Here is a 25,210-nt window from a genome sequence, read left to right on the forward strand (position 1 = left end):
AAAGTTTATTTTGCCAAGGTTGAGAACACGCCTATGACATAGTTTCAGGAAGTCTTGAGGACACCTGCCCAAGGTGGTCAGGGAACATATTGGTTTTATACATTTTAGGGAGACATGAGACATCAATCAATATATGTAAGAAGTACATTGGTTCAGTCTGAAAAGGTGGGACAACTTGAAGCAAAGGCAGGAAGACACGAAGCTGGAGGGAGCTTCCAGGTCACAGATAGGTGGACTCAAATTCTTTTGAGTTTCTGATTGGCCTTTAGTTCCCAGCTTGAGTTTTCCTTAGTAATTTTGGGGGCCCAAGATATTTTCCTTTCACATTGCTCACATATTAAAATTATAATACTTTAAACATATTGGGTTAGTTACATTATTACAATCAATTCCACGTGTTTCATGTTTCTTTTTAAAGTTTGGCTACTGGAAAATTAAAAATTCACATGTGGCTCACATTTTATTTCAGAGGACTGCCTCCTTTTTAAAATCTCAGGCTGCCTGCTCAAAGGACCAGAAGCTAGGAAGGTGATAAAAGCTAAAATTTAAAAGTAATTGTTATTATATTCTTTTCATTTGTGACTAGCCATATAGTATATTTATAAATGCATATGACCTTACACACAAGGTTCAATGCAAACACCCTCTAGGGTGGGCCTGGCTCAGCTCGGAGGAAAGCCTGCCTGAAAAGGCTGCAGCTAGGCTGTCACGCTTCATTCTGCCCAGCAACTGATCACCCTCTGTCACTCAGGGCCTGAGAGGGCGGGTCTTAAACATTATCCAATCAGGCACGCAGCTGGAGCGACAGGACGGTTTCCGGAATATGGCGGGGCGTTTGGCTCTTGCTGCAGCCAGAGCTCCAGGTCTCGTCTTCATTTCTGTGTCCTTTGTTCTTAGAGGCCCAGCCTGTGTGGCCCTGTGACCCGCAGATATTGGGAGATACACAGCTAAGACTCCAGGACCCCCTGGAAGCCTAGAAATGGTGAGAGTGCCGAGTCTGACATCCCCAGAGAGGGGGAGGGGCTGGTCGGAACCGTGAGAAGTGGCCGTGGCGGACTTAGGTCTCCCGGCAGTCAGCTCCACAATCTGCGCCCGGAATTCTCCTTGCCCAGCTCGGCTTCAGTCCCCTTCAGCCATAAGATGGCGACTGTGCTGACAGCCGGGCCCCGGGCGTCCTGTCTTCCCTCCGCAGTGACTGTGCCTGACGTGTAGCCCTGTCTGGGGAGCTCTGCACGCGCAATTCCGCAGTCTCTCCCAGATTGTGCAAGAACCATGGGAGGGGCGTCAGGTGAGAATAGTGACTCGGGATGCGGGTTCATGAGCGGGAAGAGCTTTGGTCCGTGGGGTTCCCAGTTCCCATTCTCTCCTATTAAAAATCTATGGGAGTGGCCGGGCGCGGTGGCTTATGCCTGTAATCCCAGCAGTTTGCTGGGAGGCGGGCAGATCACTGAGGTCCGGCATTCGAGAACAGCCTGGCCAACATGGTGAAACCCCCTCTCTGCTAAAAATACAAAAATTAGCCGGATGTGGTGGCAGGCATCTGTAATCCCAGCTATGTGGGAGGCTGAGGCACGAGAATCGCTTAAACCCAGGAGACCAAGATTGTGCCATTGCACTCCAGGCTGGTTGACACAATGAGACTATCTCAAACAAAAAAAAAAAAAAAAAAGGGGAGTCACTGCAAAATATTAAAGAATTTAATTAAAGAGTGGTTCTAAAATTGTAAAGCACCCAGCTGTGGGATGTAGTTTGTGGTCCTTTGGAGGAGCTTGAAGGAAAGACTTTGCGCATGGTACAAAAACGCAAATTCAGTTATTGGTTAGGTAGGGTTACGTAGTTTCTTAATTTCCATCTTCAGCTTACAAAATTTCCTGGTTATGTAATCAGAGCTTAATTCCAGTTAATAGTTAACCCTGTATTTGTTTTCCCCAGTGTAGTAATTTACAAAAAAAAAAGCATTTGAGTTAGTTTTTTGTTTTTTTTTTTTTTTTTTTGAGATGGAGTTTCCCTCTTCTTGCCCAATCTGGACTGCAGTGGCGCGATCTCGGCTCACTGCACCTTCCGCCTCCGTGTTCAAGTAATTCTCCTGCCTCAGCCTCCTGAGTAGCTGGGATTATAGGCAGGCACCACCACGCCCGGCTAATTTTGTATTTTTAGTAGAGACGGGGTTTCTCCGTGTTGGTCAGGCTTGTCTTGAACTCCCGACCTCGGGTGATCCGCCCATCTCGGCCTCCCAAAGTGCTGGGATTACAGGCGTGAGCCACGGCTCCCGGCTTGAGTTAGATCTTTTAAAAGTAGGAATTCAGGGACTACAGCCACCTCAGTCGAATTGCCTACCACTTAACTATTTTCACTCCCTACACAAAACTGATCTTCCCCTGCATTTTTCACAGGTGTCCTAAGCAGGGTCTCAAATCTACTCCCACGCCCCCCATTCCTCCAGCCTAACTCTGGCTTGCAGTAAAATACAAAATTTCCATTTCCTCCTGACAATCCCAAATGCCAACTCCCACTACTCCCTAATTCACACTATTAACTATTTGTCCTTTAGTGTACATTTTTGATACTGTATTTTAATTAAACATTTTTTGACAAAGCATTGGATGGCACATTTAAAAAGATTTGTTTTCTGTTTATAAATATTTTCCATAAGAAGAAAGCAAGGAATAATCTTCTGACACTGTATTGTAAAAAAATCTTTGTCTCTTTTCCTTTTATCTTCCCTAGGCATAGAGATTTTATGAGAATGTTTTGGCATCAAGGTTTTTCTTGGAATTTTTGTGGGGTGATGTGTCCTCAGCCACCCTTTAGTTTTTTTCCTGGTCCTGGGTTCCAGTACTGTCTGTGAATAAACCAAGATATCAGTCATGGCTATGTCTGCAAGACTGTCTAATGAATATTAATTCCTGGGTCATTTTCTCCCATAGGACAACCTGTGGTATGGAGTGTAGCCTCTGAAGGGAGCAGGTGTATTCCCTGGGGCTGAGAGGAATCTCCTGGTGTACTTTTCGTTTGAAAAGCTAACCCCTTCAGATGTTAAGACTGTGTTCACCCAGCCCGACTTTCCTTTCTTTGGGCCACATTGCTGGTCACCCAATCAAATGCTGGTATTGAGTTGAAAACAAATAATTTCTGACCCCTTGATTCTCTACAATTTGTGAAAAAAGACTAGTATCTCTGCCAGGCACGGTGGCTCACGCCTGTAATCCCAGCACTTTGGGAGGCCAAGGTGGGCAGATCACCTGAGGTCAGGAGTTCGAGACCAGCCTAGCTAACATGATGAAATTCCGTCTCTACTAAAAACAGAAAATTAACCAGGCGTGGTGGTGCATGCCTGTAATCCCAGCTACTCAGGAGGCTGAGGCAGAAGAACTCGGGAGGCGGAGGTTGCGGTGAGCCGAGATCGTGCCATTGCACTCCAGCCTGTGCAACACGAGTGAAACTCCATCTGAAAAAAAAAAAAAAGGTGATATCTCAAAAGACAAAAGAAACCCTGACCCCGGTGAGATGAGGCGAGAAATTGCAAAGTAAAATGCACTTGGGACACTTACTGGAACATAGAGCAGTCTCCTGAGAGGGTGGTTATTGAGTACTTAAGTGACTTAAGTGAGCGGGATGGGTAGGAGAATCTCTCAAGTGATTGAACTTGACACATGAGTCGGACACATCTGTTTTCTTATCAGCACTGCCACTCCCTGGGTTTGTCACTTTGAAAAGATTTGTTCACTTATATTGACTTCAGTTTTTTAACTCTAAATTGCAATTTTTTAGTAGAGCTTGAAAGGTAAGAAAATATTTACAAAGCGCATAAAAGAGGTGGGCTTCAGAAAAATCTATCTTTTTTTTTTGTTAAAAATTCTCATGTACCTTTTTCTTTCTTAGAGTGAGTTTAGAAATTTTCTCAGGCTTTTTTTTTTTTATGGCTGGGTGATTTCAAACAGAATTCCAAGGCTTAGATTTTGGAATGCTACCAAGGAAAAGAATAGGGAAAAATCTCTTCCATTTTGGCTGTAGAAAATGAATGCATTTCCAGAAGAAAATGTTGTAGATAATAGGTGAGTTACATGAATTCATGAAAACATCAGTTGTTTTTGCAGGATAAATTTCTGACAGTGAATATCTCTGTTCTATATCCTGTTATCTTTATTTCAGAGTTTAATGCTGTATTTTTTAGATGAAACTTGGTGCCTCCTAGAAGTGTTCCCATATGACTAATTGTTTACTACATTTTTTTTTTTTTTGAAATGGAGTCTTGCTCAAGGCTGGGGTGCAGTGGTGCGATCTTGGCTCACTGCAACTTCTGCCTCCTGGGTTCAAGCAATTCTCCTGCCTCAGCCTCCCGAGTAGCTGGAACTACAGGCGCACACTGTCGCGCCAGCCTATTTTTGTATTTTAGTAGAGACAGGGTTTCGCCGTGTTGCCCAGGCTTGTCTCGAACTCCTGAGCTCTGGCAATCTGCCCCTCCTAAAGTGCTAGGATTACAGGCATGAGCCACCTTGCCCGGCCTACTACATGATTTTTTAATGGAAATAATAAAATAATACATTTATAAAGGAATAGATACTTTTGCTTTTCTTATTGAGGTATGAAATGTAAGCATTGTAAAATTGCCTTGTTTTATATGAACATTGAGTAATTTTGCTGGATTTTTCGAACACTTAGTTTCAAAGACCAAGTGAATAACTCTGACACGGAAATTAAAACTTGAGCCCAGTGACTCCAAGCTAAGGCTAATATTGAGCCTGCAAAAGAAGGTTATTTAAGATCCAGTTAGTTCTTTCTGGGGAGCCTCCCCTGCAGGTGTCCCTGCCTGCTCACCCCAGCCATGGAAGGAGGCTTTATCCTGAGAGAAGCTACAGAGCCCTGGAAAGCTGGGAACCCACAGGCAGATACAGTTACAGTTAAGGTGGAAGGGAACTGGGAGGATCTTACTGAAGATAAAGTTGTCCTTGTTTTGAGACAGTTTTTAGACTTTGTAAAGTAGAACAAAGTTAGATTTGTATAAAAAAAAGAAAATTGAATTACCAAGGAGTATTGCAACAGGAGGAAATACCAACCATAAGAGCTTTAAGGATTGCAAAGTTTAGGCAGACAAAGCCTTTCTTTTCTTTTTTTAATAATTTTTTTTTTTTTGAGATGGAATCTTGCTCTTGTTGCCCAGGCAGGAGTGCAGTGGCACGATCTCTGCTTACTGCAACCTCCACCTCCCGGGTTCAAGCAATTCTCATTACTCAGCCTCCCAAGTAGCTGGGATTACAGGTGCCCGCGACCATGCCCGGCTGACATTTGTATTTTTAGTAGAGGCGGGGTTTCACCATGTTGGCCAGGCTGGTCTCGAAGTCCTTACCTCAGGTGATGACAAGGGCTTTCTTTCATAGGGGTGAGCAAACAAGATTAGAAAAAAGATGGGAGGGGAACGGCAAATGGACGGTAAAAACATCAGATTCTAGATCAGAGAATGTTTTATCCTGAGGTCAGCATGTTCTTAGAAGGGAAGTAGAATGGGGTTGTATGTTGGCTCAGACGGAGGGCAGCCCAAAGTCCAGGAACCTCTGGGAAGGAGATAAATTTCAGCGAGGTCTGATATGGAAGTACAGGAAAGTGGTCCCAATCCAGGCTCCAAGATAGGGTTCTTTGATCACACGCAAGAAAGAATTTAGAGTGAGTTCATAGAGTAAAGTGGAAGCATGTTTATTAAGAAAATAGAGGAATAAAACAATGGCTACTTCACAGACATAGCATCCCAGAGGGCTGCTGGTTGACCACTTTATGGTAATTTCTTTTTTTTAATTTTTTAATTTTTTTTTATTGATCATTCTTGGGTGTTTCTCACAGAGGGGGATTTGGCAGGGTCATAGGACAATAGTGGAGGGAAGGTCAGCAGATAAACAAGTGAACAAAGGTCTCTGGTTTTCCTAGGCAGAGGACCCTGTGGCCTTCCGCAGTGTTTGTGTCCCTGGGTACTTGAGATTAGGGAGTGGTGATGACTCTTAACGAGCATGCTGCCTTCAAGCATCTGTTTAACAAAGCACATCTTGCACCGCCCTTAATCCATTTTACCCTGAGTGGACACAGCATATGTTTCAGAGAGCACAGGGTTGGGGGTAAGGTCATAGATCAACAGGATCCCAAGGCAGAAGAATTTTTCTTAGTACAGAACAAAATGAAAAGTCTCCCATGTCTACTTCTTTCTACACAGACACAGCAACCATCCGATTTCTCAATCTTTTCCCCACCTTTCCCCCTTTTCTATTCCACAAAACCGCCATTGTCATCATGACCCGTTCTCAATGAGCTGTTGGGTACACCTCCCAGACGGGGTGGTGGCCGGGCAGAGGGGCTCCTCACTTCCCAGAAGGGGCGGCCAGGCAGAGGAGTCCCCCACCTCCCGGATGGGGCGGCTGGCCGGGCGGGGGCTGACCCCCCACCTCCCTCCCGGACGGGGCGGCTGGCCCGGTGGGGGGCTGACCCCCACCTCCCTCCCAGATGGGGTGGCTGCCGGGCGGAGACGCTCCTCACTGCCCAGATGGGACGGCTGCCAGGCGGAGGGTCTCCTCACTTCTCAGACTGGGCGGCCGGGCAGAGACGCTCCTCACCTCCCAGACAGGGTCACGGCCGGGCAGAGGCGCTCCTCACATCCCAGACGGGGCAGTGGGGCAGAGGCGCTCCCCACATCTCAGACGATGGGTGGCCAGGCAGAGATGCTCCTCACTTCCTAGATGGGATGGCAGCCGGGAAGAGGCGCTCCTCACTTCCTAGATGGGATGGCGGCTGGACAGAGACGCTCCTCACTTTCCAGACTGGGCAGCCAGGCAGAGGGGCTCCTCACATCCCAGATGATGGGCGGCCAGGCAGAGACGCTCCTCACTTCCCAGACGGGGTGGCGGCCGGGCAGAGGCTGCAATCTCGGCACTTTGGGAGGCCAAGGCAGGCGGCTGGAAGGTGGAGGTTGTAGCGAGCCGAGATCACGCCACTGCACTCCAGCCTGGGCACCATTGAACACTGAGTGAATGAGACTCCTTCTGCAATCCCGGCACCTTGGGAGGCTGAGGCTGGCGGATCACTCACGGTTAGGAGCTGGAGACCAGCCCGGCCAACACAGCGAAACCCCGTCTCCACCAAAAAAATACGAAAACCAGTCAGGCGTGGCGGTGCGCGCCTGGAATCGCAGGCACTCGGCAGGCTGAGGCAGGAGAATCAGGCAGGGAGGTTGCAGTGAGCTGAGATGGCAGCAGTACAGTCCAGCTTCGGCTCAGCATCAGAGGGAGACCATGGAAAGAGGGAGAGGGAGACCGTGGGGAGAGGGAGAGGGAGAGCGGTAATTTCTTGATTATATGCTAAACAAGGGGTGAATTATTCATGCCTCCCCTTTTTAGACCATACAGAGTAACTTCCTGATATTGCATTGGCATTTGTAAACTGTTATGGCACTGATGGGAGTGTGGCAGTGAGGACAATCAGAGGTTACTCTCAGGGCCATCTTGGTTTTGGTGGGTTTTAGCTGGCTCCTTTACTGCCGTCTGTTTTATCAGCAAGGTCTTTATGACCTGTATCTTGTGCCAACCTCTTATTATGCGACTTAGAATGCCTTAACTGTGGGCCATGCGCGGTAATTTCAGCACTTTGGAAGGCTGAGGCGGGTGGATCACCTGAGGTCAGGAGTTCGAGACCAGCCTGACCAACATGATGAAACCCCATCTCTACTAAAAAAAAATATAAAAATTAGCTGGGCATGGTGGCGGGCGCCTGTAATCCCAGCTACTTGGGAGACAGAGGCAGGAGAATCACTTGAACCGGGGAGGTGGTGGTTACAGTGACCCGAGATCACGCCACTGCATTCTGCCTGGGCGACAGAGCAAGACTCCATCTCAAAAAAAAAAAAAAAAAAAAAAGGAGGAAAGAATGCCTTAACTGTTTGGGAATGCAGCCCAATAGGCTCTGGTTTAAATGCCTCTGACAGAAGTATTTTATTTTTACCACTGAAGTCAAATTCAGCTACCATTTTTATGAGAGCAAGAAGAAAATGTGCAGAGTCTATGTCTGGCTTATGTGACAGGTAAGAATAGAGAGCACCATCTAAGTCTTTTTTTTTTTTTTGAGATGGAGTCTCACTCTGTCTTGCACGCTGGAGTGCAGTGGCGTGATCTCGGCTTACTGCAAGCTCCGCCTCCTGGGTTCACACCATTCTCCTGCCTCAGCCTCCCAGTAGCTGGGACTACAGGCGCCTGCCACCATGCCCGGCTAATTTTTTCTATTTTTCAGTAGAGACAGGGTTTCACTATGTCAGCCAGGATGGTCTCGATCTCCTGACCTCATGATTCACCCGCCTCAGCCTCCAAAAGTGCTGGGTTTACAGGCATGAGCCACTGCACCCGGCCCTTAGTCTTAATGGTAATGGGGTTTCTTTCCATAAACTGTTTCTGGCACACAAAGGATAGAGAATTTTATTAATCACAGCTGTTTTCTCGGATTATCCACGTGCTTTTTATTTTCCCACCTCTTTTCTTTGTCCTATACATTTCTTCCATTTGACTTCTCCTGGATTTTATCTTTTATAATAAACCAGTAAACATAACTACAGTGTTTGCTGAGTTCTCTGAGTAGCTCTGTCCAATTATTAAACTTCATAGAGGTTATGAAAGTCCTGAATTTTTAAACAGCTCAGAAGCATAGATGGGCCCATGGGGTTTGTGACTGGCATCTCCAGTAAGGACAATGTTGTGGGACCAAGCCCTGAATCTGGGTCTCTGCTGACTCTGGGTGGTGTCCAAATTCAAATGTTAGACATTGAGTTGCTGTTGGAGAATTGCTTGGTGTTAAGCAAACTCTACAGATTTGGTGCCAGAAGAAAGATATCACAGAGGCCTGTCCTGGAATAAAACTCTTGGTATCTGGAAATGGGAGGCTCTGCTCTCCTGTACACAGGCTTTCACACTGCCCATTGTCCTGTGATTCCAGGTGTCCTCTTAGGGTAAGAGAGGATGAAAACTTAGAGGGAACGATCTCTGATGACAGACTCCCTTTTCCTGCAGCTGCCACCACGTGATTCCCACCCACTCACATACACACCCACTAGACATTGACATGTCCACATCCCTCCCAGAATGAAGCACCACCCTCAGGAACTTCACCACAGCATTTTTGATCCCAGTGTTCCTTCCCAGAAATGCACAAAAGTGTCTACAAGTCTCCTGGAATATTCCTACTCCCAGACACAATCTGCAACAGCAACCTGTTTTTCTCCACCAACTTAGGGTTCTGGGCCACCTGTTTGTAATCTCATCTGCCTCCATGGACCTAGAAATAAATCAGTACAGCCCCACCTGGACCATTATCTGTAGCACAAACCAGTCTTTTCACCTACATAGTACTCTCCCCCAACTAATGAAGTTTTTTCCTTTTAACTTTTATTTTTGGTCTAGGGGTACACATGCAGGTTTATCATATAGATAAAATTGTGTCATGGAAGTTTAGTGTAGATTATTTTGTCACTGAGGTACTAAGCATAGCATCAAACAGGTATTTCTTATTCTCTTTGTCCTCCTACCCTCCACCCTCAACTAGGCCTCAGTGCTTGTTGTTCCTCTCTTTGTGTCCATATGTGCTTGTTATTTAGCTCTTATAAATGAGAACATGCATTTGGTTTCTTTTTTCTGCATTAGTTTTCTGAGGATAATGGGCTTCACCTCCATTCATGTTGCTGCAAAGGACATGATCTTGTTCTTTTTTTTTTAAATAACCACACAGCATTCCGTGATGTTTATATACCATGTATATTTTATACACACACACACACATATATATATTTTTTTATTTTATTTTTGAGATAGAGTCTAGGTCTGTTACCCAGGCTGGAGTGCAGTTTTACAATCTGGGCTCACTGCAACCTCCACCTCCCAGATTCAAGTGATTTCTCCTGCCTCAGCCTCCCAAGTAGCTGGGATCACAGGCACGCACCACCACACCCAGCTAATTTTTGTATTTTTAGTAGAGACGGGGTTTTGCCATGTTGGCCAGGCTTGTCTCGAACTCCTGACCTCAAGTGATCTGCCCACCTCAGCCTCCCAAAGTGCTGGGATTACAGGCATGAGCCACTGTGCCTGGCCACCATATATATTTTTATTTTTTTAAATTATTTTATTTTGTTTTATTTCATTTTATTTTTTGAGATGGTGTCTCACTCTGTCACCCAGGCTGGAGTGCAGTGGCGTGATCCCCGCTCACTGCAGCCTCCACCTCCCAGATTCAAGTGATTCTCCTGCCTCAGCCTCCCAAGTAGCTGGGATTACAGGCATGCACCACCACGCTTGTCTAATTTTTGTATTTTTAGTAGAGACAGGGTTTCTCCATGTTGGCCAGACTGGTCTCGAACTCCTGACCTGAAGTGATCCCCGTACCTTGGCCTCCCAAAGTGCTGGGATTACAACTGTGAGCCACTGTGCCTGGCCTTTTTTTTTTTTTTTTTTTACTTTTTTATAGTAGCCATTCTGACTGGTGTGAGATGGTATCTCATTGTGATTTTTCTTTGCATTTCTCTACTGATTAGTGATAAGAAAGAAATACTCATCAAATGCTTGTTAGCCACATGTATATCTTCTTTAGAATGGCATCTATTCATGTTTTTTGCCTACTTTTTAATAAGGTTGTTTTTTCTTGTAAATTTGTTTAAGTTCCTTTTGAATTCTGGATATTAGACCTTTGTCAGAAGCATAGTTTGCAAATATTTTCTTCTATTCTGTAGATTGTCTGTTTACTCTGATTTTTTTTTGTGTGTGGTGTTTTTTGTTTTTTGTTTTTTTGCTGTGAAAAAGCTCTTTAATTAGGTTGCATTCATCAAATTTTGCTTTTGTTGCAATTGCTTTTGGTATCTTCATCATAAAACTTTGCCAGTTCCTATGTCTAGAATGGTATTTCCTAGGTCATCTTCCAGTATTTTTTAAGTCTTTACTTAATCTTGAGTATATTTTTGTATATAGTATAAGAAAGGGGTGCTGTTTCAGTCTTCTACATAATGTTAGCTAGTTATTCTAGCACTATTTATTAAACAGAAAATTCTTCTTACGTTCCTCTTGTCAGCTTTGTCAAATATCAGATGGTCGTAGGTGTGCAGCATTATTTCTGGGCTCTCTATTCTGTTGCATTGGTCTATGAGTCTGCTTTTGTACCAGTACCATGCTGCTTTGGTTTCTATCACCCTGCAATATAGTTTGAAGTGGGGTAAAGTGATACAGTGCCTCCAGCTTTGTTTTTTGTTTTTTTGTTTTTTTAAATTTTTTTATTTTTTTTATTTTATTGAGACCTAGTCTCGCTTAATTCCCCAGGCTGGAGTGCAGTGGAGCAATCTTGGCTCACTGCAACCTCTGCCTCCTGGGTTCAAGCAATTCTCCTGCCTCAGCCCCCCAAGTAGCTGGGACTACAAGCATGTGCCACTATGCTCTGCTATCATCATCATTATTATTATTATTATTGTATTTTTAGTAGGGACGGGGTTTCACCGTGTTAGCCAGGATGGCTTCAATCCCCTGACCTTGTGATCCACCCGCCTCAGCCTCCCAAAGTGCTGGGATTACAGGTGTGAGCCACCATGCCCAGCCGCTTTGTTCTTTTTGCTTAGGATTGCATTGGCTCTTCGGGCTTTTTTTGTTGTTCCATATGAATTTAAAAACAGTTTTTAGTTGTGTTAAGAATGTTTTTGGTAGTTTGATAGAAATGGCATTATTTCTGTATATTTCTTTGAGCAGTATGGTTATTTTAATGATACTGATTTTTTTCTGTCCTTGAGCATAAAGTAGTTTTTGATTTGTTTGTGTTAGTTCTGACTTCTTTAAGAAGTGTTTTGTAGTTCTTGTCGTAGAGATTTTTCACCACCCTGGTTAGCTGTATTTCTAGATATTCTATTCTTTTTGTGGCAGTTGTGAATGGAATTATGTTTTTGATTTGGTTTTTGGCTCAGATATTGTGGATGTGCAGAGATGCTGCTGATTTTTGTACATGTATTTTGTATCCTGAAACTTTGCTGAAGTTGTTTTTCAGTCTAAAGAGCTTTTGCACCAAGACTATAGGGTTTTCTAGATATAGAATCATGTCATCTGCAAACAGGGTTAGTTTCCTTTCCTCTCTTCCTGTTGGGATGCCTGTTATTTATTTCTCTTGCCTGATTGCTCTAGCCAGGACTTCCAATTCTATGTTGAATAAAAGTAGTGAGAGAAGTCATCCTTTTCTTGTGCCAGTTTTTAAGAAGAAATGCTTCCAGCTTGCGTCCATTCAGCAGGTTGGCTGTTGATTTGTCACAGATATCTTACTATTTTGAAGTATGTACCTTCAATGCCTGGTTTGTTTAGGGTTCTAAACATGAAGAATGTTACATTTTATTGAAAGCTTTATCTACGTCTATTGAGATAATCTTGTGTTTTTTGTCTTTAGTTCTGTTTATGTGATGAATCACATTTATTGACTTGTGTATGTTGAACCCACCTTGCATCCCAGGGATAAAGCCTACTTGATCATAGCAGATTAGCTTGTTGATGTGCTGCTGGATTCAATTTTACAGTATTTCATTGAGGATTTTTGCATCAGTGTTCATGAAGAATTTTTGCCTGAGTTTTCTTTTTTTTGTTTTATGTTTGCCAGGTTTTGGTATCAGAATGATGCTGTTACTATATAATGAGCAGGGGAAGAGTTTCTTCTCAATTTTTTTAGTAGTTTTAGAAAGTATAATACCAGCTTTTCTTTGTACATCTAGTAGAATTCAGCTGTGAATCTGTGGGTCCTAGGCTTTTTTTGGCTGGTAGGCTATTTACTAATTCAATTTTAGAGCTTGTTATTGTTCTGTTCTGGGCTCCAGTTTCTTTCTGTTTGGTATTGGGAGAATGTATTTGCCCAGAAATTTATCCATTTCTTTTAGATTTTTTTTTTAGTTTGTGTGCATAGAGATGTTTATAGTAGACTTCAGTAGTTATTTGTATTTTTGTGGGGTCAGTAGTAATGACCCTTTTGTCATTTCCTTTTTTTTTTTTTTTGATATGGAGTCTTGCTCTGTCACCCAGGCTGGAGTACAGTGGCTCGATCTCAGCTCACTGCAAGCTCCGTCTCCCAGGTTCACGCCATTCACCTGCCTCTGCCTCCTGAGTAGATGGGACTACGGGCACCCGCCACCATGCCTGGCTAATTTTTTTTTATATTCTTAGTAGAGACAGGGTATAGCCAGGATGGTCTCTTATCTCCTGACCTTGTGATCCACCCACCTCGGCCTCCCAAAGTGCTGGGATTACAGGCATTGTCATTTCTTATTGTGTTTATTTGAATCTTCTCTTCTTACTTCACTAAACTTGCTAGTGGTTTATCTTATTGATTTATTTAAAAGATTTAACTCCTGGATTTCTTGATCTTTTGTATGACTTCTTATGTCTAAATCTCCTTCAGTTCTGATCTGATTTTGGTTATTTCTTGTCTTCTGCTAGCTCAGGGGCTGGTTTGCTCTTGCTTCTCTTATACTTTTATTTATGATGTTAGGTTGTTAAATTGAGATCTTTCTACCTTTTTCATGTGAGCATTTAGTGCTGTAAATTCCCCTTTTAACCTCACATTAGCTGTGTTGGAGAGATTCTGGTGGTGTGTTGTATCACTGTTCTCATTTGTTTTAAAGAACTTCTTGATTTGTGCCTTAATTTCATTATTTACCCAAAAGTCATTCAGATGAAGATTGTTTAATTTTCATGTAATTGCATGTTTTCAAGTGTTTTTCTTTGTACTGAATTATATCTTTTTTTTTCTTTTTTTGAGATGGAGTCTTGCTCTGTCGCCCAGGCTGGAGTGCATGGCACCATCTCGGCTCACAGCAACTTCCACCTCCCGGGTTCAAGTGATTCTCCTGCCTCAGCCTCCTGAGTAGCTGGGACTACAGATGTGCACCACCACGCCCAGCTAAATTTTTATTTTTTTATTTTTAGTAGAGAAAGGGTTTCACTGTGTTAGCCAGGATAGTCTCGATCTCCTGACATCGTGATCTGCCCACCTCAGCCTTCCAAAGTGCTGGGATTACAGGCATGAGCCATCGTGCCCAGCCCTGTATTATATCTTTATCTTTATCAAGTTGTGGTCTAAGTGAGCATTTGGTATGATTTTGGGATTATTGAATTTGCTGAGGATTGTTGTGTTTCTGATTGCGTGGTCAATTTTAGAGTATGTGACACATGGTGATGAGAAAGATATATATACTATGTTGGTTTCAGATGAAGAGTTTCATATATGTTTATTAGAATGATTTGGTCAAGTGTTGAGTTTAGGTTCTGATATCTGCTAATTTTCTGCCTCAAGGTGGGAAATTAAAGAAAATAAAATTAAATTAAAAAGAGAAAGAAACAAGGTTTCCTGTATTAGGCTGACTTATCCTAGAGGCAGTAACAGGCACAGCCCACATCCAGGAAAAGTTTTGATAACACTATTTAAGAAGCCAGGGCTGGAAAGAATGTGCTCTGGAGACTCTCCCAGCATTCCCTCAACATAGGGAGAAGAGAAACAAATTTTCCTTTCTCTTATGATTCCTGTTTTTCATTTAAGCAGCACATTGAAGGTCATGAGATGCCTGAGCAGGCCTGGATTGCAGCCACCTAGGCACCATAGTGAAGGTTATAAGATAAGCCCATGCAAGGCACTAGAGCAAGCCTAGGTAACAGCCATCTGGGCCACATAGTAAGAGTCATATGTAAGTCTGAGTTATAAACCTGTCATAGTATGATTAACTGCTTTTGTTCTGTTTCTGTATCCTTGCTTTCACATCACTACACTTTGTGCCACTGTAGGCTTGTTTCAAGTTAGCCCACCCTCTTTAGAAGTGTATGTAAAAGTTAAATGCTGTCTTTGTCCTTGGCCCAGTCTCTGGATGTTAATCCACTGGGTCTGAGTGCACTCAATAAAATCCTCCTTTTCTACCTATCGGTCTTTCCAGTCTCCTAATTCCCACAACACAGTGATCTAAGTGTCTGCGGAGTGTTGTAGTCTCCTATTATTGTGTCAGAATCTACATCTCTTTATAGGTCTTCTAAGAACTTGCTGTATTCATGTGCACCCATGAATTTTTTTTTTTTTTTGAGACAGTTTCACTTTGTTGCCCGGGCTGGAGTGCAGTGGCATGAACTCAGCTCACTGCAACCTCCTGGGTTCAAGCAATTCTCGTGCCTCAGCCTACTGAGTAACTGGGATTACAGGCACCTGCCACCATGTTTGGCTGGTTTTTGTTTGTATTTTAGTAGAGATGAAGTTTCACCATCTTGGCCAGGCTGGTCTCAAACTCCTGAGCTCAGGCAGTCCACCTGCCTCAGCCTCCCAAAGTGCTAGGATTACAGGCATGAGCCACTGTGCCCAGCCAACACCCATGGATTTTTTTAGAACACCTTTTTCTCTTCTGCTTTTTCCTTCATAAACATTCTTTCAAGTGTACACAGGGTGCCCAAGGCTACACCTTAGATACCTGAATCCAGTGTCTCCTAAAATTCAGATGTCCAAGGGTTCAGGGACATGTCCAGAGACTTGGTTGTTGTAGGAGAAAATATAAATTAGAAATAAGAGGCTTTATTCTCCTACCTGAAAATAATGGAAGATATTTTGTTCTTTTTTCTTAAAGCATTTAGATTATATGTAGATATTTTTCTCTGATTTTTGGAAATATATGTAAATCATAGTAACAGCTAAATAAACCATTTGTCATTTTTTTTTGACTCAAGGTTGTCTTTCTCTAGGACCTCATAACCATTGCTTTGTTTTTGCTTTGGGAAAGGTTTTATTTTATTTTTTCATTTTTAGTCTTGTAAAGTAGACACAGAGTTGTTTAGATTAAAGCTCATTTTAAGAGTACACAAAAGTTGAGCACAAAGATAATAAAGACTAGAAAATACTAAGTTCCTTTGAGAGAAAACTGATTATCCAGGGTAATTATCTGATATTTGCAGTCCAAAGTACTTACACAGAAAAAGCAAGAGCAGTTCAGTGTATAAACTGAAAAGTGGAATCTGTAGTTGTACTTTGGTTTCTATTTATTACTTCAGAACAATTAACATAGTTATTATGTGTAGTGTTTGTCAACAACCTGCACTCATATTAATAGCATTTTCTATAATAGTATGAATATAAGGCCACAATATTTACTTTGAATACCTTAAATAGGCACTTCAATATTGTTCTTTTTACTTTTGAAATATAGTGTTTTAACTGAATTATGGTTACAGACAATTTTTAAAAGTTCTACAGACATCATGACTAGTACACAAAAATTATTTATACATAGATATTTGTATCTAACATCAAAGGAAAACTCACTACAAAATTGTTACAGTAGATATTAGTCTGAAATGCTCATTAGTTTCCCCAAAAGGACTAATTATATGTGAGCATGGTTTCAGTGTCTTATTTCACTAAATTTGAATGCTGCTATTACAGGACAAATCAACATGATGAGTGATGTGGCCACCCAAAACCATAATAGCTCTTTAGTTAACTATGTTTCAATCTCAGATACATTCCACTATATAAACAAAGTCAGGTTCCAGTTCTTATCAAAAAGCTCTAGTGGAAGTTGTCACATGTATTTCACAATAGATCCCCCATTTGATGGCTAGGAGATAAAAGAGCAACAGACATGAAAGAAAAACCTTATGAAATTCTACTGAGAATATGCCCTTTTTCTTCATAATGCTCATGTTTCTCATGCTGACAATAGCTGTGCATTTTGGGTGTTTTCAGAGAAATTCCTTTTAGGGGAATATTTTCTGGCCTACTTGATCAATCTTGTATCTAATCTGAGTTTTCTTCTTAAGATGCTTTTAACTTAGTTTGTTCTCAGTAGAATCTTGCTGAGATGGAGAGCTGCTTTTCTCTCTCATGCTTTGGTTGTCTGTTTCAGAAGGCCTATTCATATCCTGTGGTTTGTGTGAATTAGGTGGGCTGTCACAGTGAGAACTCTTGGAGCATCTGCACTTATCCTGGAAATCCAGCAGTATTTTTTAATGTCACAATTATAACTAGAAACTGAGGCTGAAACACTGCTCCCATTCCCATTATTATGAAGGCACAATTCTATCCAGGAGGCCTACAGGATCTCCTCATGCAGCTCAGGCTTTACTCTCTGATGTGGCACTGGAGTGCTGCTATGGCAATTGGGGTTCATGTATGATGTGAGCTGCCAGCTGTGAGCCCTGTGCTGTGAGCTGTGTTTCAGTGGCAGATGGTAGGAGTCGAGAGGACACTCGTCATCAGGAGAGGGTAAGCAGGAGTGCTCTAGCCCAGTGCTTAGGGAGTAGAGGAGCCATTGCTTTAAAATGTAAATAGCCAAAAAGATAGCACCCCATCCAGCCATTTCTGCAGGAGAGTGAGAGCCTACCTTCAGCAGCCACCTGCTTTCAAGTTGGAATATTACCTCCTGTCGTGAAGATAGGAAAAGTTTATTTTGTCATTGACTATAACCCACTGGCATGCACAGATGGCCTCTCAAATTACCAGGTAAATTTAGGATAAACTCTGTATGACATGGTGCTGTAAGTTCTTCCACTTGTGGACTAATTATAATGACTATTTTTCTGTCTTTGCAGTCTCTTAAGCAAATTGACTGTGGTGCATGTCACATTCTGGTTTACTTGCATATAAAAACTCTTTTGTTCTATCATTATGGAGTTTCTCTGCAGCTGGATACAATTTTTCTTTTAATTATATTTTCCAAACACTATCTAGAATTACCATACATGATATAAACATATTAGGTGCCAGCCAGGCTTTACTCTAGAGGGTACTTTTCCTCTCAGGCTTCCAGTCAACTCACAGTTGTGCTGCAAAGTGCATGCTGTCACTGGGCATCTCTAATCCCAGCACTTTGGGAGGCCAAGATGGGCAGATCACCTTGAGGTCAGGAGTTTGAGACCAGCTTGGCCAACATGGTGAAACCCTGTCTCTAAAAAAATACAAAAATTAGCCGGGCATGATGGCAGGTGCCTGCAATCCCAGCTACTTGGAGGCCGAGACAGGAGAATTGCTTGAACCCAGGAGGCAGAGGTTGCATTGAGCCAAGATCATGCCATTGCACTCTAGCCTGGGCAACAGAGCGAGACTCTGTCTCAAAAAAAAAAAAAAGTGTATACTGTCCCGTAAATATGCAGGCAGAATCATGTCTCTTTGTTATCTATAGTCCTCTACAGTCACTTCTAGAGGGATTAGATTTGTACAAATGTTACAGGGTGGAAATCAACCATTTTACCTCTTTCAATGACTCTTGTGTCTTCAAACCTGAAACTGATTAAGAGACCATGGAGCCAAGAAACCAAATCAGAGTAACACGTGTGCATTGAGTAGACATGTGGACATGAGAATCTCCACTTTCCCCTTCCTCCTCTTGGTAAACTGCTCACAAATGTTCAGGTAACATCTGCTACTGCTACTCCACCTATTCAGGACCTAAATCTGCAGATGGAAATTCTGAATCTAGGTCATGAGATTTGGAAAACAGAAAATCTTTTATCTGAGGAATGCAAATCCTCTTTTTAGGTCGGGGCGAAAGTTATTGCGGTTTTACCATTTAATGTAATGGCAAAAACCACAATTACATTTGCACCAACCTAATAGTTGTCAAACTCGGAGAGACATTAAAATGAGAACACAATTATGTCTTTCTCTCCTCTTTGAACCATATAGTTATCTCTTGAAATTGTTTACTATTGCCACCAGTGGCTATAAATTAAACTGATAGTGCCACACTGGACACTATAGCCCATACTCTAAACCCTAACGATGTACACTCAATCAGTAATCAATGTTAATTCTGTAAATAAATAAGAATTTCTCACAGACAACCTTTTATCAGGCCACACTCTGTCCCTCTCTCTTTGCCTTTGCAAATCCACTTGTAAGTGCTGCTAATTGAAGTGTAGATTCCAGTCAACTTGAATCTTTGCCCGCAGTTTACAATCCTCAAGCTTGGCCCAAATAAACTGCCTACTTCTGTTCATGTTGCCTCATCTTCTACCTTCTAGATAGATGTATAATCTAGAGTGTGCCAGAGCAGCCTCTATGAGGAGATCTCTCCTTTGATTGTTGTGTGCTTGCTCTAATACCCAAGGATGCAGAGCCAGGTTGATCCCATCTAGGATCTGCACATAAGGCCAGGCCTCTTCTTGGGATTTACAAGACAAGGCCACACTTTGGATTCAGAATGTAAAAAAAACTAACAGGAGGCATCTTCTGCATTGTGAGATGTCAACATGGGCATTTTAAAGACATCTTTTGAGAGTGTGGCTCTTTGAGCTTTTCAGATCTTGTCCAATGACCTGCTTCAGTTGTGTGAGAGGCTTCTGGTATAAATAGAATCTAATGTCAGATTCAGTAAGTGTAAACAAGCATCGTAGGAGTGAGATCAAGGCCACAAAGTATCCAGAGCCATAACACAACTATACCTACCTGTAAAATGTGATGCTGGGCCAGGCGTGGTGGCTCACGCCTATAATCCCAGGACTTTGGGAGTCCAAGGCAGACGGATCACGACGTCAGGAGTTGGAGACCAGCCTGACCAACATGGTGAAACCCCATCTCTACTAAAAATACAAAAATTAGCCGAGTGTGGTGGCACATGCCTGTAATCCCAGCTGTTCAGGAGGCTAAGGCAGGAAAATCGCTTGAACCTAGGAGGCGGAGGTTACAGTGAGCTGAGATCATGCCACTGCACTCCAGCCTGGGTGACAGAGCGAGACTCCATCTCAAAAAAAAAAAAAAGTGAACACTGTAGTAGAGTATTCTTGTCCTTCCTCTTACCCAAGAGCTAGCAAATCAGGACGGGTGATCCAGGTTCTGGAGCTCTGCCAGGGCAGTTCCATTTTCTATTTAGAATGAGCCTGAGTCTCTTCTGCCTTTCTTATTATTGGGCCATCAGCACAGGGTCACTGGGAACCCTCTCTCAATTAGCTAGGTATATTTCAGACATTTGATGATGTCCAGAGCAGAACTGTGTCAGGATGATAAGAGTGGTTAATTCCGCTTCTGTTTCAATGTAAGAGAAATGAATCATCTTGTGTTTGTTTCTTTCCTCATACAAGAGATGTGTTTGGTTGGTACCCAGATGAGAGTTTCTCTAGTTTTCTGGTACTTTGGGTAAAAGACGAGGAGGAGGTCTGGAGACTCAAAGCAGATAAACTAATTGCTTCATTAATATGACCATTAGAAAAAAAATGAAGCAGTCATGGTCCCTACCATCCAAAAACTCTTGGTTTAGACTATCAACTGGATAAATGGTTGAATGAAGCATCATATGGTTGGTACAATGAATACGTGTGTGCAAAAAAACTTGGGCTTTATTTGGGCCACTTTCTTTACATTGTTGTAACTTCTGATGTCATCAGCTGAAGGGATATTTATGGACAGAAGAATTTTTATTATTATTTCTATTTTTCTTACCTTGTTAAGAATATATATTTATCTTCTAATAAAATTACCCTAGAAAACCTTAAGAGATTTGCTTAAATTGCTTATTAGTATATGTTATAAAATTGACAGCACAGTAGCTAAAAAAAATTAAAATTACACAAACTCTGGAATTTAAGTTTTTCTTAGGTAAGTCTAGGAAAAACAGAACTGGAAGTACCCCCACTGGCATAGAGAACAGAATTCTACACAGGGTCCACTCTTTGGCCCAGTTCTGTTCAGATTCACCCTTTTTGGATGCCTTATTTTGGTCTGGCCCCACTCTGGAGCCTTGCCTCACAGAACTGATTAGAAGAGATCAGAGTTTTGGGTGGTATATTTTGCTACCTTTCTAGAGCTGGTGCTCTGATTTCGTGAAACTCAAAAGCAGATAAGTGGAAAAATACGTATTTTTAATTTTTTATTAAAATCAGTGCTTACCAAGACATTCCATTTAGCAACTTGTTTTCTATTCCTGCAGATCCAGTAGTTGCTCCACAAGTCACAATAAATTAAATATAAACACAATAAAAATTCCTCTAAACTACATTAAACTCTTAATTTCTGTATTCCTCTCATCTGTCTATATTTAGCTTTTATTCTATACATTTTATTTTTTAAAAATCAATGACAGAGAAACAGAAAAATTAAAATTCTGGGTCCTTTATCTAAATCCTGGGAATTATTAAACACTTAGTACCAACTCCCAGGGTGTTATGAGGATGAAATCACACAGTATGTTATGCCCAGCACAGTGCTCTGTAACATACTCTTGAGCACATAGTACCTGCTTAACAAACATTGCATTAGTACCTGTGCATATGCTATTTTTCAAATGCAGACTCATTCAGACATTGCTGCCTTCTGTTTGTTCTGTAAACTTTATTTTACTATTTTTTTCAGGTTTTTGAGAAGCTACTTTAATCTGTTATGAAAAGAGAGGTTTCTTCACTTTGACTTTTTTTTTTCCATAAGTCACTGGTGTACAGGTAGTATTTGGTTACATGCATAAGTTCTTTAGTGGTGATTTGTGAGATTTTCGTGCACCCATCACCCAAGCAGTTTACACTACACCCATTTGTAGTCTTCTATCCCTTGCCCTGCTCCCACTCTTCCCCCAAAGTCCCCAAAGTCCATTGTACCATTCCTATGCCTTTGTGTTTTCGTAGTTTAGCTCCCACATATCAGTGAGAACAGAAAACCTTTTATCTGAGGAATGCAAATCCTCTTGTTAGGTCGGGGCAAAAGTTATTGTGGTTTTACCTTTTAATGTAATGGCAAAAACCAGAATTACATTTGCACCAACCTAATAGTTGTCAAACTCAGAGAGACATTAAAATGAGAACACAATTACGTCTTTCCTCTTTGAACTATGTAGTTATCTCTTGAAACTGTTTACTATTGCCACCAGTGGCTATAAATTAAATTAATAGTGCTGCACTGTGCACTATAACCCATACTCTAAACCTTAACGATGTATATATACCCAATTAATAATCAATTTTTTTTGTAAATAAATAATTTCTGACAGACAACCTTGTATCAGCCCACTTGGGGGTGTCTCTCAGGTCCTGCAGGAGCAGTCTGCTTCCTTCAGATGGTCTGTGGGTCCTCTTGGGATTGCTAGTTTGTTCTTGCAGTCAATCTGGAGCTAAAATTCACACTGTGAACCTCCACACACTTCTCTGTCCAAGTCGGAGCTGCAATCTAGTCCTGCCTCCCATCCACCATGACTGAGCCCATTCCACTTTGGCTCTTTAAGTAAGTAGGCCACCTGTTCTGTAAACTTTAAAGAGTCAGCAAAGAATATGATACTTTAGTGTACAGATGAGTTGTCTTCATTTGTATCAGAACTTTTTGTGTTGTGACAAGAGTCCTGAGTGGAAGGGACTCTGTGCTGTGCCTGCTTTGTCTAACTAATACTAATGGTGAGCCCAGGGGGAGTTACATCAGCACCGATGGGACTTGTTTAAAACACTCATTTTGGACCCTTTTCAGACCTGCAGAATCACATTATGTAGAATGGGGTCAAAATTACCAAGTGATTTATAAGCTCATTACAGCTCGAGGGGCAATGCTTTGCCAAGTGGTTATCAGCCGGGGTTTCTAATTAGAATTCCACAGCCAATTTACAAAAATCTCTTTACTTGTGCCCTTTCAACAGGTTCTGCATAGAAGCATCCATGTTGTTTTAATTAAGTGCCTCATGTGATTCTAAGGTGAGGCCAGAATCAAGTATGAAAGCTTCAAGACACATTCATGAGAGTTCCACCTTTGCACTAAAGGGTGGTTACAGGGCCTGTTCTGTTTGGGTTTGGTAGGGACAGGGCAGTGCAGTCCATACTACCAATATTGTAGCAGAAACTGCTGTTGTCTGTGGCAGGGGAGGGCACCTGAGGACAGGAAAGAAGAAATGTGTCTCCATGGAACAGTGCATTGTTCCTAAATGTCTGTTATTAAGAACAGAAATGGGTGGACTTTTTTTGCAAGTCTTGATTCTTCTGCCTGTGGGTGTGGTGGCAGCAGGTAAACAGGTTCTGTTGACATTTTAAAAGGCATAGTCTCAAGATGCAGGTGTGATTTGTTTGGAGCATGTCATCTGAGCAGGAATTTTACAGAAATTGGAAAAAGAAGAATAAATGGCGATTTTTCAGCTAATCATGTCCCAGATCAAGAGCTGTGTCCACTCTGCCTCCTGGACTGTCATGCATTTAGTACTTGCAAGCCTTTACTTCTCTACTTGTATTTTTCCTCCCTAATGAGTTTAACTACTTTTTAAAATTCTTATGATAGTCAAGGGTCTCTGAAAAATATTTCCTTCCTACATACCAGATCTTTCTCTACATTCTCTACATCATAGCTTTTTATGTGCCATGCAGAATTCTCACCGATTATAAATTAATCTGCAATATTAAAAATGTTCTCTTGTGGCTGTGAAACAGGAGGTGTGGATACTCAAGGTTTCTATTAGGGAAAGGTGGGGGTCCTCAGTAAAGATGGAGAACATGTAATGTTGAGGTTCCATCTGTGTTCTCCATTGGCTTTATGCAGAACAGGATTTTCAAAATGCTTATTTAAACAGGATGGCATTTATCACCCAGAAAGTTCTAAAAAATAATATATATTAGGAGGTACCTGTTCTCTAGAGTGCTAAAAAAAGACTACTTTAAATCATTACTAAAAATTATAGAACACTTGACTGGGTGCAGTGGCTCACACCTGTAATCTTAACACTTTGGGAGGCCGTGGTGGGTGGATAACTTGAGGTCAGGAGTTCAAAACCTGTCTGACCAACATGGTGAAACCCCATCTCTACTAAAAATACAAAAATTAGCCGGGCGTGGTGGCAGGTGCCTGTAATCCTAGCTACTGTGGAGGCTGAGGCAGGAGAATCGCTTGAACCCAGGAGGTGGAGGTTGCAGTGAGCCGAAATTGTGCCATTCCACTCCAGCCTGGGGGACAGAGTGAGACTCCGTCTCAAAAAAAAGAAAAAAAAAATTACAGAACCCATGAGTCATCAGTACCTTAAACTTTGAATAAAACTGATGTTTCTTTATGGTTAAATTCAGACTGTAATCTACTTTTAGGTAGCAAGATCACATCAGTGAGGCTATGTCTTTCTGTATGCACCAGCACATCATAAAAATTTGTCCTAGTGCAGTTGATGTTAATGATTCACTTGGTTAAAGAACTCTCTGACAGACTGTTTTACTATAGAGTTGATTATTTTTTCTTTATTATTAACTATCTTTATGCAGCTGATGCCATCACATTTAATCTGGCAGCTGCCCTTCTTCCTTAGGTTTTCTTTGCATATATCTGTCTTTGGAAAATGAAAGCTCTCATCTTTGTTTACAGGACAAAAAAACTGGGAAAAACACAGCTTCCTTCATTTACTGAATGTTTGACAAAATATTCTTTTTGGATCAAAAACATTGGCATTACTGGTGAGCTTGTTAGAAATTCAGCAACTCAGACTTTATTCCAGATTTTCTGAAAAAATAATCTGCATTAACAAAATCTTCAGTTCATTGAACACATTAAAATGTGAGAGGTAAATTCTAACTCAACATGTCTTTTTGATCTGAAAAATATACACAACTCATTCTGTAAGATGTAAACATAGCACTCAAAAATGTATGTTTCTGTTCATGCCCTTAATTTTATACTTTATCACTTAGAAAAATGTCATGTGTACACTGATGTTGTGGATCTTATGCCACTATTTTCTCAAAGTTAGAGAATATATTAGAGAACATTTCTGTTTATAAATTAGTTTATTGAATAATTTCAGTCACTTGTATAAGTCAGAAGCAGTTCTCTTTACTCTCTCATTTCACCTTGAATTAAATAAAAAATTCTACCCATGGGCACTTGGTCAATATATTTCTCTCTCTTTCTCTCTCCTTCTGTTGGTGTGTGTGTGTTTCAGGGACCATTGACATTTACAGATGTGGCCATAGAATTCTCTCTGGAGGAGTGGCAGTGCCTGGACACAGCACAACAGAACTTATATAGAAATGTGATGTTAGAGAACTACAGAAACTTGGTCTTCCTGGGTGAGAATAACTTCAATACAACATTCCTAATATACCCTAAATGTTTCATTTCTCCTCTTTGTAGAATGTTCTTTGGTAATTTATGCTTTGCATAAATGAGTTTCAGATTCCTGCTTTTAAGAAAAGTTTGGGGCCGGGTGTCTTGGCTCACGCCTGTAATCCCAGCACTTTGGGAGGCCAAGGCGGGTGGATCACGAGGTCAGGAGACCATCCTGGCT

General features: G+C 41.8%; 1 protein-coding gene and 1 pseudogene across 14 annotated transcripts in view, besides 6 other annotated features; one reads left to right on the forward strand and one right to left on the reverse strand.

Moving 5' to 3' along the window:
- Positions 591–1,193: an enhancer, noted in NCBI's record as "H3K27ac-H3K4me1 hESC enhancer chr19:21688185-21688787 (GRCh37/hg19 assembly coordinates)". NCBI's record gives its function as "activates a minimal SCP1, AML or CMV promoter by ChIP-STARR-seq in primed H9 embryonic stem cells {active_cell/tissue: H9 hESC(primed)}" and the evidence as "EXISTENCE:reporter gene assay evidence [ECO:0000049][PMID:30033119]".
- Positions 809–1,128: an enhancer, noted in NCBI's record as "active region_14386". NCBI's record gives its function as "activates an Ori minimal core promoter by ATAC-STARR-seq in GM12878 lymphoblastoid cells {active_cell/tissue: GM12878}" and the evidence as "EXISTENCE:reporter gene assay evidence [ECO:0000049][PMID:35858748]".
- The window catches only part of ZNF429 (zinc finger protein 429), a 35,067-nt gene continuing 10,666 nt past the window's right edge, over positions 810–25,210 (forward strand). The window contains exons 1-3 of one of the 14 annotated variants that reach the window (NR_144522.2): positions 810–982; positions 1,193–1,288; positions 13,783–15,716. Coding sequence is in view for 8 of the 14 variants with exons in the window: in XM_047438765.1 (XP_047294721.1) it covers positions 22,671–22,719; positions 24,867–24,992 (175 nt within the window). In the remaining 6 variants the exon portion in view is untranslated. The other 13 variants (NR_144525.2, XM_047438765.1, NM_001346913.2 and 10 more) reach the window with 13 other exon arrangements.
- Positions 1,139–1,498: an enhancer, noted in NCBI's record as "active region_14387". NCBI's record gives its function as "activates an Ori minimal core promoter by ATAC-STARR-seq in GM12878 lymphoblastoid cells {active_cell/tissue: GM12878}" and the evidence as "EXISTENCE:reporter gene assay evidence [ECO:0000049][PMID:35858748]".
- Positions 1,139–1,795: a biological region, named in NCBI's record as "H3K27ac-H3K4me1 hESC enhancer GRCh37_chr19:21688788-21689389".
- Positions 1,194–1,795: an enhancer, noted in NCBI's record as "H3K27ac-H3K4me1 hESC enhancer chr19:21688788-21689389 (GRCh37/hg19 assembly coordinates)". NCBI's record gives its function as "activates a minimal SCP1, AML or CMV promoter by ChIP-STARR-seq in naive and primed H9 embryonic stem cells {active_cell/tissue: H9 hESC(naive and primed)}" and the evidence as "EXISTENCE:reporter gene assay evidence [ECO:0000049][PMID:30033119]".
- Positions 6,821–7,427: an enhancer, noted in NCBI's record as "H3K27ac-H3K4me1 hESC enhancer chr19:21694415-21695021 (GRCh37/hg19 assembly coordinates)". NCBI's record gives its function as "activates a minimal SCP1, AML or CMV promoter by ChIP-STARR-seq in naive H9 embryonic stem cells {active_cell/tissue: H9 hESC(naive)}" and the evidence as "EXISTENCE:reporter gene assay evidence [ECO:0000049][PMID:30033119]".
- On the reverse strand, positions 16,554–17,104 carry BNIP3P26 (BCL2 interacting protein 3 pseudogene 26; annotated as a pseudogene).

Source organism: Homo sapiens, chromosome 19 (genome assembly GCF_000001405.40).
Source record: "Homo sapiens chromosome 19, GRCh38.p14 Primary Assembly".
Classification (NCBI taxonomy): domain Eukaryota; kingdom Metazoa; phylum Chordata; class Mammalia; order Primates; family Hominidae; genus Homo; species Homo sapiens.